General features: G+C 39.9%; 1 annotated feature.

Moving 5' to 3' along the window:
- Positions 16206 to 16808: an enhancer, noted in NCBI's record as "OCT4-NANOG-H3K27ac hESC enhancer chr3:98115366-98115968 (GRCh37/hg19 assembly coordinates)". NCBI's record gives its function as "activates a minimal SCP1, AML or CMV promoter by ChIP-STARR-seq in naive H9 embryonic stem cells {active_cell/tissue: H9 hESC(naive)}" and the evidence as "EXISTENCE:reporter gene assay evidence [ECO:0000049][PMID:30033119]".

The following is an 18068-nucleotide window of genomic DNA, read 5'->3' as shown; positions in this document are numbered from 1 at the left end:
GGTCTTTTAATTAGATCCCATTTGTCAATTTTTTGCTTTAGTTGCAATTGCTTTCAGTGTCTTCATCATGAAACCTTTGCTCATTCCTATATCCTGGATGGTATTGCCTAAGTTGTCTTCCAGAATTTTTATAGTTTTGGGTTTTACATTTAAGTTTTTAATCCATATTAATTTTTGTATGTGGTGTGAGGAAGGAGCCCAGGCTCAATTTTCTGTATATGATTACCCAGTTATCCCAGCACCATTTACTGAAAAAGTAATCCTTTACCTGTTGCCTGTTTTTGTCAGAACCGTCAAAGATCAGATGGTTGTAGGTGTGTGGTCTAATTCAGGCGTTCTTTATTCTGTTCCATTGGTATGTTTCTGGTCTTGTACCAGTACCATGCTGTTTTGGTTACTAGAGCCCTGTAGTATAGTTTGAAGTTGGGTAGTGTGATGTCTCCAGCTTTGTTATTTTTGATTAGAATTGCCTTTGCTAGTCAGGCTCTTTTGCAGTTCCCTATGAATTTTAAAATGTTTTCTTCTAGTTCTGTGAAGAATCAAATGATAAGAATAGCATTGAATCTATAAATTGCTTTGGGCCATATGACCATTTTTTTTAATTTTTTTATTATTATTACACTTTAAGTTTTAGGGTACATGTGCACAATGTGCAGGTTTGTTACATATGTACATGTGCCATGTTGGTGTGCTGCACCCATTAACTCATCATTTAACATTAGGTATATCTCCTAATGCTATCCCTCCCCCTTCCCTCCATCCCACAACAGGCCCCGGATTGTGATGTTCCCCTTCCTGTGTCCATGTGATCTCATTGTTCAATTCCCACCTATGAGTGAGAATATGCGGTGTTTGGTTTTTTGTCCTTGTGATAGTTTGCTGAGAATGGTGGTTTCCAGTTTCATCCATGTCCCTACAAAGGACATGAACTCATCATTTTTTATGGCTGCATAGTATTCCATGATGTATATGTGCCACATTTCTTAATCCAGTCTATCATTGTTGGACATTTGGGTTGGTTCCAAGTCTTTGCTATTGTGAATAGTGCCGCAATAAACATACGTGTGCATGTGTCTTTATAGCAGCATGATTTATAATCCTTTGGGTATATACCCAGTAATGGGATGGCTGGATCAAATGGCATTTCTAGTTCTAGATCCCTGAGGAATCGCCACACTGACTTCCACAATGGTTGAACTAGTTTACAGTCCCACCAACAGTGTAAAAGTGTTCCTATTTCTCCACACCCTCTCCAGCACCTGTTGTTTCCTGACTTTTTAATGATTGCCATTCTAACTGGTGTGAGATGGTATCGCATTGTGGTTTTGATTTCTCAGATGGCCAGCGATGATGACATTTTTTCATGTGTTTTCTGGCTGCATAAATGTCTTCTTTTGAGAAGTGTCTGTTCAAGTCCTTCGCCCACTTTTTGATGGGGTTGTTTTTTTCTTGTAAATTTGTTTGAGTTCATTGTAGATTCTGGATATTAGCCCTTTGTCAGATGAGTAGGTTGTGAAAATTTTCTCCCATTTTGTAGGTTGCCTGTTCACCCTGATGGTAGTTTCTTTTGCTGTGCAGAAGCTCTTTAGTTTAGTTAGATCCCATTTGTCAATTTTGGCTTTTGTTGCCATTGCTTTTGGTGCTTTAGACATGAAGTCCTTGGCCATGCCTATGTCCTGAATGGTACTGCCTAGGTTTTCTTCTAGGGTTATTATGGTTTTAGGTCTAACATGTAAGTCTTTAATCCATCTTGAATTAATTTTTGTATAAGGTGTAAGGAAGGGATCCAGTTTCAGCTTTCTACATATGGCTAGCCAGTTTTCCCAGCACCATTTATTAAATAGGGAATCCTTTACCCATTGCTTGTTTTTCTCAGGTTTGTCAAAGATCAGATGATTGTAGATAAGTGGCATTATTTCTGAGGGCTCTGTTTCTGTTCCATTGATCTATATATCTGTTTTGGTACCAGTACCATGCTGTTTTGGTTACTGTAGCCTTATAGTATAGTTTGAAGTCAGGTAGCGTGATGCCTCCGGCTTTGTTCTTTTGGCTTAGGATTGACTTGGCAATGTGGGCTCTTTTTTGGTTCCATATGAACTTTAAAGTAGTTTCTTCCAATTTTGTGAAGAAAGTCATTTGTAGCTTGATGGGGATGGCTTTGAATCTGTAAATTACCTTGGGCCGTATGGCCATTTTCACGATCTTGATTCTTCCTACCCATGAGCATGGAATGTTCTTCCACTTATTTGTATCCTCTTTTATTTCATTGAGGAGTGGTTTGTAGTTCTCCTTGAAGAGGTCCTTCACATCCCTTGTAAGTTGGATTCCCAGGTATTTTATTCTCTTTGAAGCAATTGTGAATGGGAGTTCACTCATGATTTGGTTCTCTGTTTGTCTGTTATGTGTGTATAAGAATGCTTGTGATTTTTGTACATTGATTTTGTATCCTGAGACTTTGCTGAAGTTGCTTATCAGCTTAAGGAGATTTTGGGCTGAGACAATGGGGTTTTCTAGATACACAATCATGCCATCTGCAAACAGGGACAATTTGACTTCCTCTTTTCCTTATTGAATACCCTTTATTTCCTTCTCCTGCCTAATTGCCCTGGCCAGAACTTCCAACACTATGTTGAATAGAAGCTGTGAGAGAGGGCCTCCCTGTCTTGTGCCAGTTTTCAAAGAGAATGCTTCCAGTTTTTGCCCATTCAGTATGATATTGGCTGTGGGTTTGTCATAGATAGCTCTCAATATTTTGAGATATGTCCCATCAATACCTAATTTATTGAGAGTTTTTAGCATGAAGCATTGTTGAATTTTGTCAAAGGCCTTTTCTGCATATATTGAGATAATCATGTGGTTTTTGTCTTTGGTTCTCTTTATATGCTGGATTACATTTATTGATTTGCGAATGTTGAACCAGCCTGCATCCCAGGGATGAAGCCCACTTGATCATGGTGGATAAGCTTTTTGATGTGCTGCTGGATATGGTTTGCAAGTATTTTATTGAGGATTTTTGCATTGATGTTCATCAAGGATATTGGTCTAAAAGTCTCTTTTTTGGTTGTGTCTCTGCCAGGCTTTGGTATCAGGATGATGCTGGCCTCATAAAATGAGTTAGGGAGGATTCCCTCTTTTTCTATTGATTGGAATATTTTCAGAAGGAAGGGTACCAGCTCCTCCTTGTACCTCTGGTAGAATTTGGCTGTGAATCCTTCTGGTCCCGGACTTTTTTTGATTGGTAAAATATTGATTATTGCCACAATTTCAGATCCTGTTATTGGTCTATTCAGAGATTCAACTTCTTCCTGGTTTAGTCTTGGGAGGTTGTATGTGTCGAGGAATTTATCCATTTCTTCTAGATTTTCTAGTTTATTTGCGTAGAGGTGTTTGTAGTATTCTCTGATGGTAGTTTATATTTCTGTGAGATCAGTGGTGACATCCCCTTTATCATTTTTTATTGCATCTATTTGATTGTTCTCTCTTTTCTTCTTTATTAGTCTTGCTAGCAGTCTATCAATTTTGTTGATCTTTTCTAAAAACCAGCTCCTGGATTCATTGATTTTTTGAAGGGTTTTATGTGTCTCTATTTCCTTCAGTTCTGCTCTGATCTTAGTTATTTCTTGCCTTCTGCTAGCTTTTGAATGTGTTTGCTCTTGTTTTTCTAGTTCTTTTAATTGTGATGTTAGGGTGTCAATTTTGGATCTTTCCTGCTTTCTCTTGTGGGCATTTAGTGCTATAAATTTCCCTCTACACACTGCTTTGAATGTGTCCCAGAGTTTCTGGTATGTTGTGTCTTTGTTCTCATTGGTTTCAAAGAACATCTTTATTTCTGCCTTCATTTCGTCATGTACCCAGTAGTCATTCAGGAGCAGGTTGTTCAGTTTCCATGTAGTTGAGCAGTTTTGAGTGAGTTTCTTAATCCTGAGTTCTTGTTTGATTACACTGTGGTCTGACAGACAGTTTGTTATAATTTCTGTTCTTTTACATTCGCTGAGGAGTGCTTTACTTCCAACTATGTGGTCAACTTTGGAATAGGTGTGGTGTGGTGCTGAAAAAAATGTACATTCTGTTGATTTGGGGTGGAGAGTTCTGTAGATGTCTATTAGGTCCGCTTGGTGCAGAGCTGAGTTCAATTCCTGGGTATCCTTGTTAACTTTCTGTCTCGTTGATCTGTCTAATGTTGACAGTGGGGTGTTAAAGTCTCCCATTATTATTGTGTGGGAGTCTAAGTCTCTTTGTAGGTCACTCAGGACTTGCTTTATGAATCTGGGTGCTCCTGTATTGGGTGCATATATATTTAGGATTGTTAGCTCTTCTTGTTGAATTGATCCCTTTACCATTATGTAATGGCCTTCTTTGTCTGTTTTGATCTTTGTTGGTTTAAAGTCTGTTTTATCAGAGACTAGGATAGCAACCCCTGCCTTTTTTTGTTTTCCATTTGCTTGGTAGATCTTCCTCCACCCCTTTAGTTTGAGCCTATGTGTGTCTCTGCAAGTGAGATGGGTTTCCTGAATACAGCACACTGATGGGTCTTGACTCTGTATCCAATTTGCCAGTCTGTGTCTTTTAATTGTAGTATTTAGCTCATTTACATTTAAAGTTAATATTGTTATGTGTGAATTTGGTCCTTTCATTATGATGTTAGCTGGTTATTTTGCTCATTAGTTGATGCAGTTTCTTTCTAGCCTTGATGGTCTTTACAATTTGGCATGTTTTTGCAGTGGCTGGTACCAGTTGTTCCTATCTATGTTTAGTGCTTCCTTCAGGAGCTCTTTTAGGGCAGGCCTGGTGGTGACAAAATCTCTCAGCATTTGCTTGTCTGTAAAGTATTTTATTTCTCCTTCACTTATGAAGCTTAGTTTGGCTGGATATGAAATTCTGGGTTGAAAATGCTTTTCTTTAACAATGTTGAATATTGGTCCCCTCTCTCTTCTGGCTTGTAGAGTTTCTGCCAAGAGATCTGCTGTTAGTCTGATGGGCTTCCCTTTGTGGGTAACCTGACCTTTCTCTCTGGCTGCTGTTAACATTTTTTCCTTCATTTCAACTTTGGTGAATCTGACAATTATGGGTCTTGGAGTTGCTCTTCTCGAGGAGTATCTTTGTGGCGTTCTCTGTATTTACTGAATCTGAATGTTGGCCTGCCTTGCTAGATAGGGGAAGTTCTCCTGGATAATATCCTGGAGAGCGTTTTCCAACTTGGTTCCATTCTCCCCGTCACTTTCAGGTACACCAATCCGACATAGATTTGGTCTTTTCACATAGTCCCATATTTTTTGGAGGCTTTATTTGTTTCTTTTTATTCTTTTTTCTCTAAACTTCCCTTCTTCCTTCATTTCATTCATTTCATCTTCCATCACTAATATCCTTTCTTCCAGTTGATTGCATTGGCTCCTGAGGCTTCTGCATTTTTCATGCAATTCTCAAGCCTTGGCTTTCAGCTCCATCAACTCCTTTAAGGACTTCTCTGCATTGGTTATTCTAGTTATCTATTTGTCTAATTTTTTTTCAAGGTTTCTAACTTCTTTGCCATTGGATTGAATTTTCTCCTATAGCTTGGAGTTGTTTGATCATCTGAAGCCTTCTTCTCTCAACTCATCAAAGTCATTCTCCGTCCAGCTTTATTCTGTTGCTGGTGAGGAGCTGCGTTCCTTTGGAGGAGGAAAGGTGCTCTGCTTTTTAGAGTTTCCAGTTTTTCTGCTGTTTTTTCCCATCTTTGTGGTTTTATCTACTTTTGGTCTTTGATGATGGTGACGGACAGATGGGTTTTGGTGTAGATGTCCTTTCTGTTTGTTAGTTTTCCTTCTAACACACAGGACCCTCAGTTGCAGGTCTGTTGGAGTTTGCTAGAGGTCCACTCCAGACCCTTTTTGCCTGGGTGTCAGCAGCGATGGCTGCAGAACAGCGGTGGCTGTAGAACAGCGGAATTTGGTGACCCACAAATGCAGCTGCCTGATCGTTCCTCTGGAAGTTTTGTCTCAGAGGAGTACCCGGCCATGTGAGGTGTCAGTCTGCCCCTACTTGGGGGTGCCAACCCGTTAGGCTGATCGGGGTTCAGGGACCCACTTGAGGAGGCAGTCTGCCCATTCTCAGATCTCCAGCTGCGTGCTGGGCGAACCACTACTCTCTTCAAAGCTGTCAGACAGGGACATTTAAGTCTGCAGAAGTTACTGCTGTCTTTTTGTTTGTCTGTGCCCTGCCCGCAGAAGTGGAGCCTACAGAGGCAGGCAGGCCTCCTTGAGCTGTGGTGGGCTCCACCCAGTTCAAACTTCTCAGCTGCTTTATTTACCTAATCAAGCCTGGGCAATGGCAGGCACCCCTCCCCCAGCCTCACTGCAGCCTTGCAGTTTGATCTCAGACTGCTGTGCTAGCAATCAGTGAAACTCCATGGGCGTAGGACCCTCCAAGCCAGGTGCAGGATATAATCTCCTGGTGTGCCGTTTTTTAAGCCCGTTGGAAAAGCACAGTATTGGGGTGCAAGTGATGTGATTTTCCATGTGCCGTCTGTCACCCCTTTCTTTGACTAGGAAAGGGAACTCCCTGACCCCTTGCACTTCCCGAGTGAGGCAGTGCCTTGCCCTGCTTCTCGGCTCGTGCACGGTGCACTGCACCCACTGTCTGGCACTCCCTAGTGAGATGAACCTGGTACCTCAGGTGGAAATGCAGAAATCACCCGTTTTCTGCGTTGCTCACACTGGGAGCTGTAGACTGGAGCTGTTCCTATTTGGCCATCTTGGCTCCACCTCATGACCATTTTCATGATATTGATTCTTCCTATCTATGAGCATGGAATGCCTTTCCATTCATTTGTGTCATCTCTGATTTCTTTGAGCAGTGTTTTTTAGTTCTTGTAGAGATCTTTTACCTCCCTGGTTAGCTTCATTTCTAGGTATTGTGTTCTTTTTGTGGCAATTTTGAATGAGATTGCATTCCTCATTTGGCACTTGAATTGACTGTCATTAGTGTATAGGAATGCTTGTGATTTTTGTACATTGATTTTTTATCCTGAGGCTTTGCTGAAGTTGTTTATCAGCTAAAGAAGCTTTTGGGCTTAGACTCTGGGGCTTTCTTGATATAGAAACATGTAGTCTGCAAATATGATAGTTTCACTTCCTCTCTTCCTATTTGGATGTGTTTTATTTCTTTCTCTTTTCTGATTGTTCTGTCCAGGACTCCTAATACTATGTTGAATAGTAGTGGTGAGAGTGGGCATCTTTGTCTGGTGCCAATTTTCAAGGGGAATGCTTCTAGCATTTTCCCTTTCAGTACGATATTTTCTGTGGGCTTTTCGTAGATGGCTCTTATTATTTTGTGGTACGTTTGTTCAATATCCAGTTTCTTGAAAGTTTTTTTTTTAACACAAAAAAGTGTTGAATTTTATCAAAAACCTTTTTCTGCATCTATTGAGATAATCGTGCATTTTTTGTCTTTAGTTCTGTTTATGTAATGAACCACATTTATTGATTTGTGTATGTTGAACCAGACTTGTGTCCCAGGGATGAAGCCTACCTGATAAGCTTTTTGATGTGCTGCTGTATTTGGTTTGCCAGCATTTTGTTGAGGATTTTTGCATCAATGTTCATCAAGAATATTAGCCTGAAGTTTTCTTTTTTTCTTTTTTTTTTTTTGTATCTCTACCAAGTTTTGTCATCAGGTTGATGCTGGCCTCATAGAATGAGTTAGGGAGTAGTCCCTCCTCCTTGATTTTTTGCACTGGTTTCAGCAGGAATGACACCAGCTCTTCTTTGTACATCTGGTAGAATTCAGCTGTGAATCTGTCTGGTCCCAGTCTTTTTTTGATTGGTAGACTATTTATTACTGACTCAATTTTTGACCTTGTTATTGGTCTGTTCAGAGATTCAATTTCTTGCTGGGTCGTTCTTGAGAGGGTGTATGTGTCCAGGAATTTATCCATTTCTTCTATAGTTTCTAGTTTATGTGCATAGAGGTGTTCATAATATTCACTGATGTTTGTTTGTATTTCTGTGGTGTCAGTAGTATATCCCTCTTGTCATTTCTCATTGTGTTTATTTGAGTCTTCTCTTTTTTCCTTTATTAATCTAGCTAGCAGTCTATCTATTTTATTAATTTTTTTTCAAAAAATCACCTCCTGGATTCATTGGTTTTTTGGAATGGCTTTTTTGTGTGTGTCTAAATTTCCTTCTGTTCAGCTCTGATTTTGTTTATTTCTTATCTTCTGCTAGCTTTGGGATTTGTTTACTCTTGGTTCTCTAGTTCTTTTAGTTGTAATGACAGGTTGTTAACTTGAGATCTTTCTAACTTTTGATATGGTCATTTAGTGCTATAAATTTATCTCTTAACACTGCCTTAGTGGTGTTCCAGAGATTTGGTACATTGTCTCTTTGTTCTCATTAGTTTTGAATAACTTTTGGACTTCTGCCTTAATTTCTTGTCGCAAAAGTACTTCAAGAGCAGATTATTCAACTTCCATGTAACTGTATCATTTTGAGTGAATTTCTTAGTCTTGATTTCTAATTTGATTGCACTGTGGTCCAAGAAATTGTTTGTTATGATTTTAGTTCTTTTGTATTTGCTGAGGAGTTTTTAAGTTCTGATTATGTTATCAATTTTAGAGTACATGTCATGTGGTGATGAGAAAAATGTATATTCTGTTATTTTTGGGTGAAGAATTCTGTATATATATATCATGTCCATTTGATTTAGTGCTGAGTTGATGTCCTAAATATTTTTGTTAATTTTCTGTCTTGATGATTTTTAATTTTCTGTCTCTATGATCTGTATAATATTGTCAATGGGATGTTAAAGTCTCCCACTATTATCGTGTGAGAGTCTAAGTCTCTTTGAAGGCCTCGAAGCACTTGCTTTATAAATCTGTGCTCCTGTGTTGGGTCCATATATATTTAAGTTAGTTAGGTTGTCTTGTTGGATTGAACCCTTTACCATTGTGTAATGCCCTTTTTTGTCTTTTTTGATCTTTATTGGCTTATTGTCTGTTTTGTCAGAAACTAGGATTGTAACCCCTCCTTTTTTTCTGTTTTCCATTGGCTTGGTAGATTTTCCTCCATTTATTTTGAGCCTATGTGTATTATTCCACATAACACTGGTCTCTTGAAGACAGCATAACAATGGATCTTGGTTCTTTATCCAGCTTGCCATTGTGTGTCTTTTAATTGGGGCATTTCACCCATTTACATTCAAGGTTAGTATTGATATGTGTGGATTAGATCTTACCATCATGATGTTAGAGGATTATTTTGCAGACTTGTTAATGTTATTGCTTTATAGTGTCACTGATTTCTGTACTTCAGTGTGTTTTTCTAGTAGGTGGTAATGGTCTTTCCTTTCCATATTTAGTGCTTCTTTCAGGAGCTCTTGTAAGGCAGGTCTAGTGGTAAACAATTCCATCAGAATTTGTTTATCTGAAAAGGATCTTATTTTTTCTTCTCTTATGAAGCTTAGTTTGGCTGGATATGAAACTCTGAATTGGAATTTCCTTTTTTACAGAATATTGATATTGGCCTCCAATCTCTTCTAGCTTGTAGGGTTTCAACTGAGAGGTCCACTGTTATTCTGAAGGGCTTCCCTTTTTAGGTGACCTGACCTTTGTCTCCAGTTGTCTTTAATATATTTTCTTTCATTTTGACCTTAGAGATGATTATGTGTCTTTGGGATGATCTTATTGTAAAGTATTTTACTGGGGTTGTCTGCATTTCCTGATTTTGAATATTGGCCTCTCTAGCTGGATTGGAGAATTTCTCATGGATGATATCCTGGAATATGTTTTGCAGGTTGCATCCATTCTCCCCATCTCTTTTAGGAACATCAATGAGGTATTCTTTTTTCTCTATTCTTGTCTGACTTTCTTATTTCAGAAAGCTAGTCTTCAATTTCTAAGATTCTTTCCTCTGCTTTGTCTATTCTGCTAATAACATCTGTGATTGTATTATGAAATTCTTGTAGATGTGTTTTTCACCTCTATCAGGCCAGGTACATTTTTTCTATACTATCTATTTTGTCTGTCACCTCCTGCATTGTTTGCCATGACTTTTTAGCTTCCTTGCATTGGGTTTTAATGTACTCCTGTAGCTCAAGGATCTTGTTTCCTATCCATATTCTGAATTATATTTCTGTCATTTCAGCCATCTCAGGCTGGTTCAGAACTCTTGCTGGAGAGGTGATGTGATCATTTGGAGAAAAGAAGGTACTCTGGCTTTTTGAATTTTGAGCATTTTTGTGCTGATTCATTTTCATCTTTGTGGGCTTATCTACTTTTAATCTTTGAAATTGCTGGCCTTTGGATGTTTGTTTTTCCTTTTATCCTATTTGATAACCTTGAGGGTTGGATTGTGGTATAAGGTGGATTCAGCCAACTGGCTTCATTTCTGGGTGATTTTAGGGGGCCAATACTCAGCTCCCAACTCCTGAACTGTGCGCTGTAACTCTGGAGGACTAGTATTTGGCCCCAACTTTCACTCTTCAGGGTTTGGATCCACTGCAGTTGGTGGGGGGTTGCTGAGGTGCAGCTGTGACAGAGTGATAGTGGGTGCTGGGGTTCCTGCTTTCCTGCAGGTACTTACCACAGTGGTAGAGGAAATGCAGCTGCGGGGAGGATGGGGAGCCTCCCCCTAACTTTATGGTGTGTGTGATTGCATTGAAGGTGGTGTTGGCTTGGGGGCAGGGTGCTTGTGGGTGCAGGTCTGGGTACTTTCTCTGTGCCTCAAAAGCAAGAGTGATCTTTCAGGTTGGGGGAGGATCTGCTGTTCTCTTTGCAGTGTTAGTACAAGTGCAGGGTGCTGACAGGGCAATGGTTGCTGCCTCTGGGCCTGCCAAGGCTCCATCTTCAATGGTGGTTGGTAGCAGAGAGGCAAACTGCACTTCCATTTGCTGGTGAGGCAATGAAGTAAAACCCACCTGTGCAGACGTGTGCCAACAAAGTGATGTGGGGAGTCACTGTGGACCTGGAGGAAGCTGCAGTATGGGAAAGGAGTGGGCAGACTAATGCATGGCTGTAGTGGCCACTTCACTGGGGCTTGCCACTGGTCATGCACAGTCTACAAGCAGAGAAGCTCTAATGTAGGCCCCCAGTGTACCCAAGACTGTCCTGCAAGCAGACATGGCCAGGCTGTGGCCCTGGGAGAGGCCAGCAGACCAAGGGGTGCTCAGGTCAGACCAGTCTCATCTGATGGGCAAGACTGCCCTGTGGATATCAGGTCTGAAAATTCCCCTAGGTCTAAAGTCTTCTATGGGAGCAAGTCTAGCCTAGGGGGATGGACTTCCCTGACTATGCTCTGCTACAGATGCTACCAAACCAAACCCTCTGGGCTTCACCTCAGCTGGCTTGCTGCCCCTGCTACTTTTTAAGGGGTCTCCTCCTGCTGGGGCTCCAGAAGCCCATGGTGAGAGCTGCTGTGGTCCAATAATGCAGTCCTCATTTTGGCAATGAGTATTTGTCTCTACATTTATCTAGTTGTCACTAAGTCCAATATAAAGCCTCGAAGCCACTATAGATTCCCAGGATATCCATAATGTAAATGGAAATGTTCTCATTCCCCCTCCCAGCCTAATTTCCCTGACCCAAGCCAGCTGCATGTAGACCACATCCAATAAGCCCTTTCTACACCCTCAAAATTTGCATCCTATTGTCACCTTAAGATATCAGATAATTATTTTTATGAACATTTGTTAGCTCCTGATGTTTCTTATTTTGTCTGTGGAACCTATGCTTGTCTTTTACTGACCTACTGAACCAGATCTTCTTTTCTTACCAATTTTACTAATCCCTTTATGTTGCTTGATTTTCTACAATTTTCTTCTTTTATTGAACTATCACCCACCTTCTCCAGTTTACCTAATTCTCACTATTGGAAAAATAAGGTTTTCAGAAACTCAGAGGTATTTTTGTAGCTGATCTCAGTTCCTAAGGAGATAATTTAGGAAAAACAGCTATAGAACAAGTTCCTTTCATGATCTCATTACATTTTCAGAAAGGTTTGCCACCTTTGGGTACCATTCCTAGGAATCTACCACCTGGCTGAAAAAGTTAGACTCAACAAAATAGAATCATTTAGTCATTACTTATACAATTCATCATGGCCATGGACAACATCACAGCTGCTCTCAAATCAATGGCTCACCAATTTTGAGGTAAGTCCCTTCTACTAGGTTGGTTCAAAAGTAAATTGTGTTTTTTTGCTATTACTTTTAATGGCAAAACAGCAATTACCTTTTGCAGCAACCTGATATAACTACTTTATTGAGGGTTTTTATCATAAAGTGATGCTGGATCTGATAGAATGCTATTTCTGCATCTATTGAGATGATCACATGACTTTTGTTTTTAATTGTGTTTACGTGATGTATCACATTTATTGACTTCTGTATGTTAAACCATCTCTTCACCCCAGGATGAAGCCCGTGTGATCATGAGGTATTATCTTTTTGCTGTGCTGTTGGATTCAGATATTTAGTATTTTGTTGAGGATTTTTGCATCTATCTTCATCTGGGATATTGGTCTGTAGTTTTGTTGTTGTTGTTGTTGTTGTTGTTATGTCCTTTTCTGCTTTGGGTATTAGGGTAATACTGGCTTCATAGAATGATTTAGGGAGGATTCCCTCTTTCTCAATCTTTTGGAGTAGTTTCAGTAGGATTGGTACCAACCATTCTTTGATTGGTTGGTAGAATTCAGCTGTGAATCCATCCAGTTCTTGAATTTTTTTTATTAGCATTTTTTTTTGGTACTGAGTCAATCTTGCTGCTTGTTGTTGATCTGTTCAGGGTTTCTATTTCTTCCTAATTCAATTAAGAAGGTTGTATGTTTCCAGGAATTTATTCATTTCCTCTAGATTTTCTAGTTTGTGCACATAAAGGCATTCATAGTAGGCTTAAATGATCTTTCATATTTCTGTGGTACTGGTTGCAATGTTTCTAGTTTCATTTCTAACTGAGTTTATTTGGATCTTCTCTCTTCTTGGTTAATCTGGCAAATTGTCTATCTATAAATTTTTGTTGCCTTTTTAAAGAATCAGTTTTTTGTTTCATTTATCTTTTATACTTTTTGGTTTCAATTTCATCTTGTTCTGCTCTGAACTTTGTTAGTTTCTTCTGTTGCCTTTGGGTTTACTTTGTATTTACTTCCTTAAGATGTGACATTAGGTTGTCAATTTATGCTCTTCAAGACTTTTTTGAGGTAGGCATTTAATGCTATGAACTTTCCTCTTAGCACTGCTTTTGCTGTATCCCAGAGATTTTGATAACTTTTTCACTATTATTATTTCGTTTGAATAATCTAAAATTTCCATCTTGATTTTATTGTTGATCCAAAAATCATTCAGGAGAAAATTATTTAGTTTCCAAATATTTGTACAGTTTTGACTATTCCTTTTGGAGTTGGTTTCTAGTTTTATTTCCCTGTAATCTGAGAAGATACTTAATATAATTTCAATTCTCTTATATGTATTAGACTTGTTTTGTGCCTATTGTATGATCTCTTTTGGAGAATGTTCCATGTGCTTATGAGAAGAATATATACTCTGCAGTTGTTGGGTAGAATGTTCTGTAAATATCTGTTAAGCCCACCTCTTCTAGAGTGTAGTTGAAGTCCATTGTTTCTTTTTTCTTTTTTTTCGAGATGGAGTCTCACTCTGTCTCCCAGGTTGGAGTGCAGTGGCACGATCTCTGCTCACTACAACCTCTACCTTTCAGGTTCAAGTGATTCTCCTGCTCAGTCTCCCGAATAGCTGGGATTACAGGTACCCACTACCATGTCCAGTGAATTTTTGTATTATTAGTAGAGACAGAGTTTCACCATGTTGCCCAGGCTGATCTCCAACTCCTGACCTCAGGTGATCTGCCCCTGTCAGCCTCCGAAAGTGCTGGGATTACAGGTGTGAGCCACCATGCCCAGACTAAATCCATTATTTCTTTGTTGACTTTCTATCTCAATAATATGTCTAGTGCTGTCAGTGGAATAGTAAAGTCCCACACTATTATTTTGTTGCTGCCAATCTCATGTCTTAGGTCTAGTAGCAATTGTTTTATACATCTGGGAGCTCCAGTGTTAGGTGCATGTAAATTTGTAATTTGATATTGATTGTAATATCTTCTTGTTGGATTGACCCTTTTACCATTACACTCTCTTTTGGTTTTTATTTGCATGGAATATCTTTTTCCACCCCTTTACCTTGAGTTTATATGAATCCTTATGTGTTAGGTGAGCCTCTTGAAGACAGCAGATATTTGGTTTGTGATTTTGTATACATTCTGCCATTCTGTATCTTTTAAGTGGAGCTTTTAGGCCATTTACATTTAATGTTAATATTGAGATGTTAGGTACTGATCTATTCATCATGTTCATTGTTACCTACATACTTTTTTTTCTGAGTTTTATGCTTTCAAGAGGTTCTATTTTGGTGCATATCAAGGTTTTGTTTCAAGATTTAAAACTCCTTTTAGCATTTATTGTAGTGCTGGTTTGGTAATAGCAAATTACCTCAGCATTTGTTTGAAAAATAACTTTTTCTTTCATTTATGAAAGTAACTTATTTTGCTGGATTCAAAAATTCTTGACTGACAGTTATTCTGTTTAAGGAGACTAAAGATAGAACCCCAATACCTTTTAGCTTTAATGGTTTCTGCTGAGAAGTCTGCTGTTAGTCTGATAGATTTTCCTCTATAAGTTACCTGATGCTTTTTTCTCCCAGCTCTTAGTATACTTTCCTTCATGTTGACTTTAGATAGCACAATGACTATGTGCCTTGGTGATAATCTTTTTGCAATAAATTTCCCAGGAGTTCTTTGAGTTTGTTGTATTTGGATTTCTAAACCTCCAGCAAGGCCAGGGAAGTTTTCCTCAATGATTCCCTCAAGTAAGTTTTCTAAATTTTAAGCGTTCTCTTTTCCCTCAGGGACACCGTTTATTGTTAGGGTTAGCTGTTTTACATAATCTCATATTTCTTTGAGACTTTGTTAATTTCTTTTGTTTCATTTTTCCTTATATTTGTCTGATTGGGTTAATTAAAAATCTTTGCCTTTCAGTTTTGAGATTCTTTCTTCTACTTGTTCTAGTCTATAGTTGAAACTTTCCACTGCATTTTGTAATTCCCTAAATGAGTTTTTCATTTTTGGAACTTCTGATTGGTTTTTCTTTATGATACCTATTTGTCTAGAATTTTTTAATTTGTATCCTGAATTTTTTAAAATTTTCTTTATGTTGGTCTTCACCTTTCTGTAGTATCTCCTTGAGTAGCTTAATAATTGACCTTCTGAATTCTTTATCTGGTATTTCAACAATTTCATTTTGGTTTGGATTCATTACTGGGGGAATCTTTTCAGAATGTTATAGAACCTTGTTTTGTTATATTTATTACCAGAATTACTCCTCTCGTTCTTTCTTATTTGGGTAGACTATTTCTTCTAAGTGTTCTTGAATTTATTTTTGATTTGACTTTTTCTAAAATTTCATTTTTTCTCCCTTAAGGATGCGACTTTAATGTTTATAGTTTTCTTTTTACCCTAATTTTGTTCTTGATGGTGCTTTTAGGGGTGAAGACTCTGTTTGAGGAAGACTCTGTTTGAGTTCCTTGATTATAGTCTTTGTATGACGGCTTCCTCAGATATTTGTTGTAGTAGCAATGTACTCAGTGTGTGGGCAAGTTCACTATCTCCTATAGAATTGGAATGGCAGAGGTCTGTTGAAGTTTATCTCATTCCCCCATGGTATGTACTTTTTAATTTATTTAATTTACCTCCAGTATTTTATTTACTGAGTTGATGGTTCAGGCTTCAGGCCAGTAGGGGAGGTGTCCCTGGGTAGGAACAGGTTGTAGCTAAAGCATATGGATAAATGCAATACCCAATGGTGTGCAAAGGTCCTAGCCTTGATGAAGGTGGCTGGAGGAGCTCTCAATTAGGCACACTGAGGTCTTATCAGGGAGAAGGATGGGAGCCAATTCAGTTCTTCCACCAGGCCAGCAGTAAAGCTATCCACCTCCAAGACTCACTCGTGTCCCAAGAGAGGCACCTCTTTTCATCTGTAAGGATGCTGATATTCCAAATAGAGAGAAATTGTGACTCTGCCTCTCATGCAAACCTGAATCTTGGGAGTGCTCCTTCTGTGGGAATGCAGTACTCTGAAGTGTTCCAGGAAGACTCTCTTTCATGTGCGTCCATGTGAAGAGACCAAACAGGCTTTGTGTGAGCAACATGGCTGTTTATTTCACCTGGGTGCAGGCGGGCTGAGTCCGAAAAGAGAGTCAGCAAAGGGAGATAAGGGTGGGGCCATTTTATAGGATTTGGGTAGGTAAAGGAAAATTACAGTCAAAGGGGGTTTGTTCTCTGGCGGGCAGGAGTGGGGGTTGCAAGGTGCTCAGTGGGGGTGCTTTTTGAGCCAGGATGAGCCAGGAAAAGGACTTTCACAAGGTAATGTCATCACTTAAGGCAAGGACCGGCCATTTACACTTCTTTTGTGGTGGAATGTCATCAGTTAAGGTGGGGCAGGGCATATTCACTTCTTTTGTGATTCTTCAGTTACTTCAGGCCATCTGGGCGTATACGTGCAAGTCACAGGGGATGCGATGGCTTGGCTTGGGCTCAGAGGCCTGACACTCTCTATAGGTGCACCCATGCTGAGCTCCCATGGGAGAAGCCCCAGCTGTGTCTGCAGTGGCGGACAAGGAAGGAAAGAATTCCCCTTCTGTAAGATCTTTCATGAGCACCAAGGCTGCCTGACTGTTAAAGTAGAGCTGCAAAATTTCCCTCCTGAGCCCAGCACTGCAATTGTGTCTCTGCTGAAAGAAACTTCCCACCAGTGGAAAAATCTGGGATTTAAGGCTTGCCATCCAGATTCTTTTGTCCCAGGTATTTTAATAACTCAAGTTAAGGAAACAATAGAATTTTTATAGAGATGCTCCTGATTCTGTTGAGAATTTTGTCTTCTTTGCTTCAGGGTCCTTCATGGTAGGTAGAGACTTCTTTATTAGGAACCTAGACAATCAGTTCAAAAGTAAGTGTAGGCAGTCTTGGCATTGCGTGGTTCCAATATGCACAGATTTCATACTAGTTGAACATATATGGAATTACAGAAAAAAAATAGCTGACCAGGGAAATGTTGACATGGTTGCATTTTGAGACAGATATTCACCCAGAAGAACTGGATTGTTTTGTCCCATGGGGTGTTCCATTGATGAGGTGCTCTCTCCCATACTCTAGGAGTATGAGTTCCTGAGAGCCAGACTATAGTGATTGTTCTTCTGGGTCTAACCACCCGGTGGGGCTGCTATACTCCAGGCTGGTGCTGGGGAAAGTCTGTGAGGGTTCTAGTGATGTTACCTTTCCTCAAAACCACAGCAGTTGGTACCAGTACTGGCTGTGATGGGAGTGGCAGGGGAGTGATGTAGACTTTGTGAGAATCCTTGATTATAGATAGCCTTAGTGTGTTGTTTTTCTTGAATGTTGATTATGATGGTAGTGAACTCGGCATGTGGACAGACTCAGACCTCCTGGTTAGCCAGTGTGTTGCAGGCAGTGGTGGTAGCTGAGGTCAGATACCAGTTTTCTTATTTCTGGGCACACTCTTATTCTATCTAGAGATGCTGTAGTGGACTGTGTTGGCTGGCCTCCAGCCAGGAGGTAGCACTTGCCAAAGAGTACCTGCTCCTGTAATAGTAGCAGGATTTGAGCTTTCCCTGCTTTGCCCAGAGGAGATATTCTGGTTTCTCAGGTGATGGGCAGGGCCATAAAGCTCCTAAATGTTTCTGTCATTTGTGTTACACTACCAGGGAGGGTGGAGGGGCACAGCCAGGTTGGGGCTGTGCTCTGACTCTCCACATGAGTGGCAAGCTGCAGCTTCTCTGAGGGTCAGAGGGCATTTATCAGGCTGCTGGGGTAATGCTCCAGAGGGGAGTGTAACTGCCTCTGTTGCACAGAAGAGAGTTTGCACAGGGAGTAAAGAGTAGCAGGTGGCAGTAAGCCTCACCCAGATCCCACACAGTTGGCAAAGTTGTTCTCACTCCTGAAGTGTTCTGCTAGCAGCACTGAGCTAAGCTCCAGGCAGCCTTGGCAGCCTGGCTCCTGCACTCATGGCTGCAGTGTA

This window comes from Homo sapiens, chromosome 3 (genome assembly GCF_000001405.40).
Source record: "Homo sapiens chromosome 3, GRCh38.p14 Primary Assembly".
NCBI classification, from domain to species: domain Eukaryota; kingdom Metazoa; phylum Chordata; class Mammalia; order Primates; family Hominidae; genus Homo; species Homo sapiens.
Note: the sequence above shows the minus strand (reverse complement) of the source record. Positions and strands in the feature narration are given on the sequence as shown.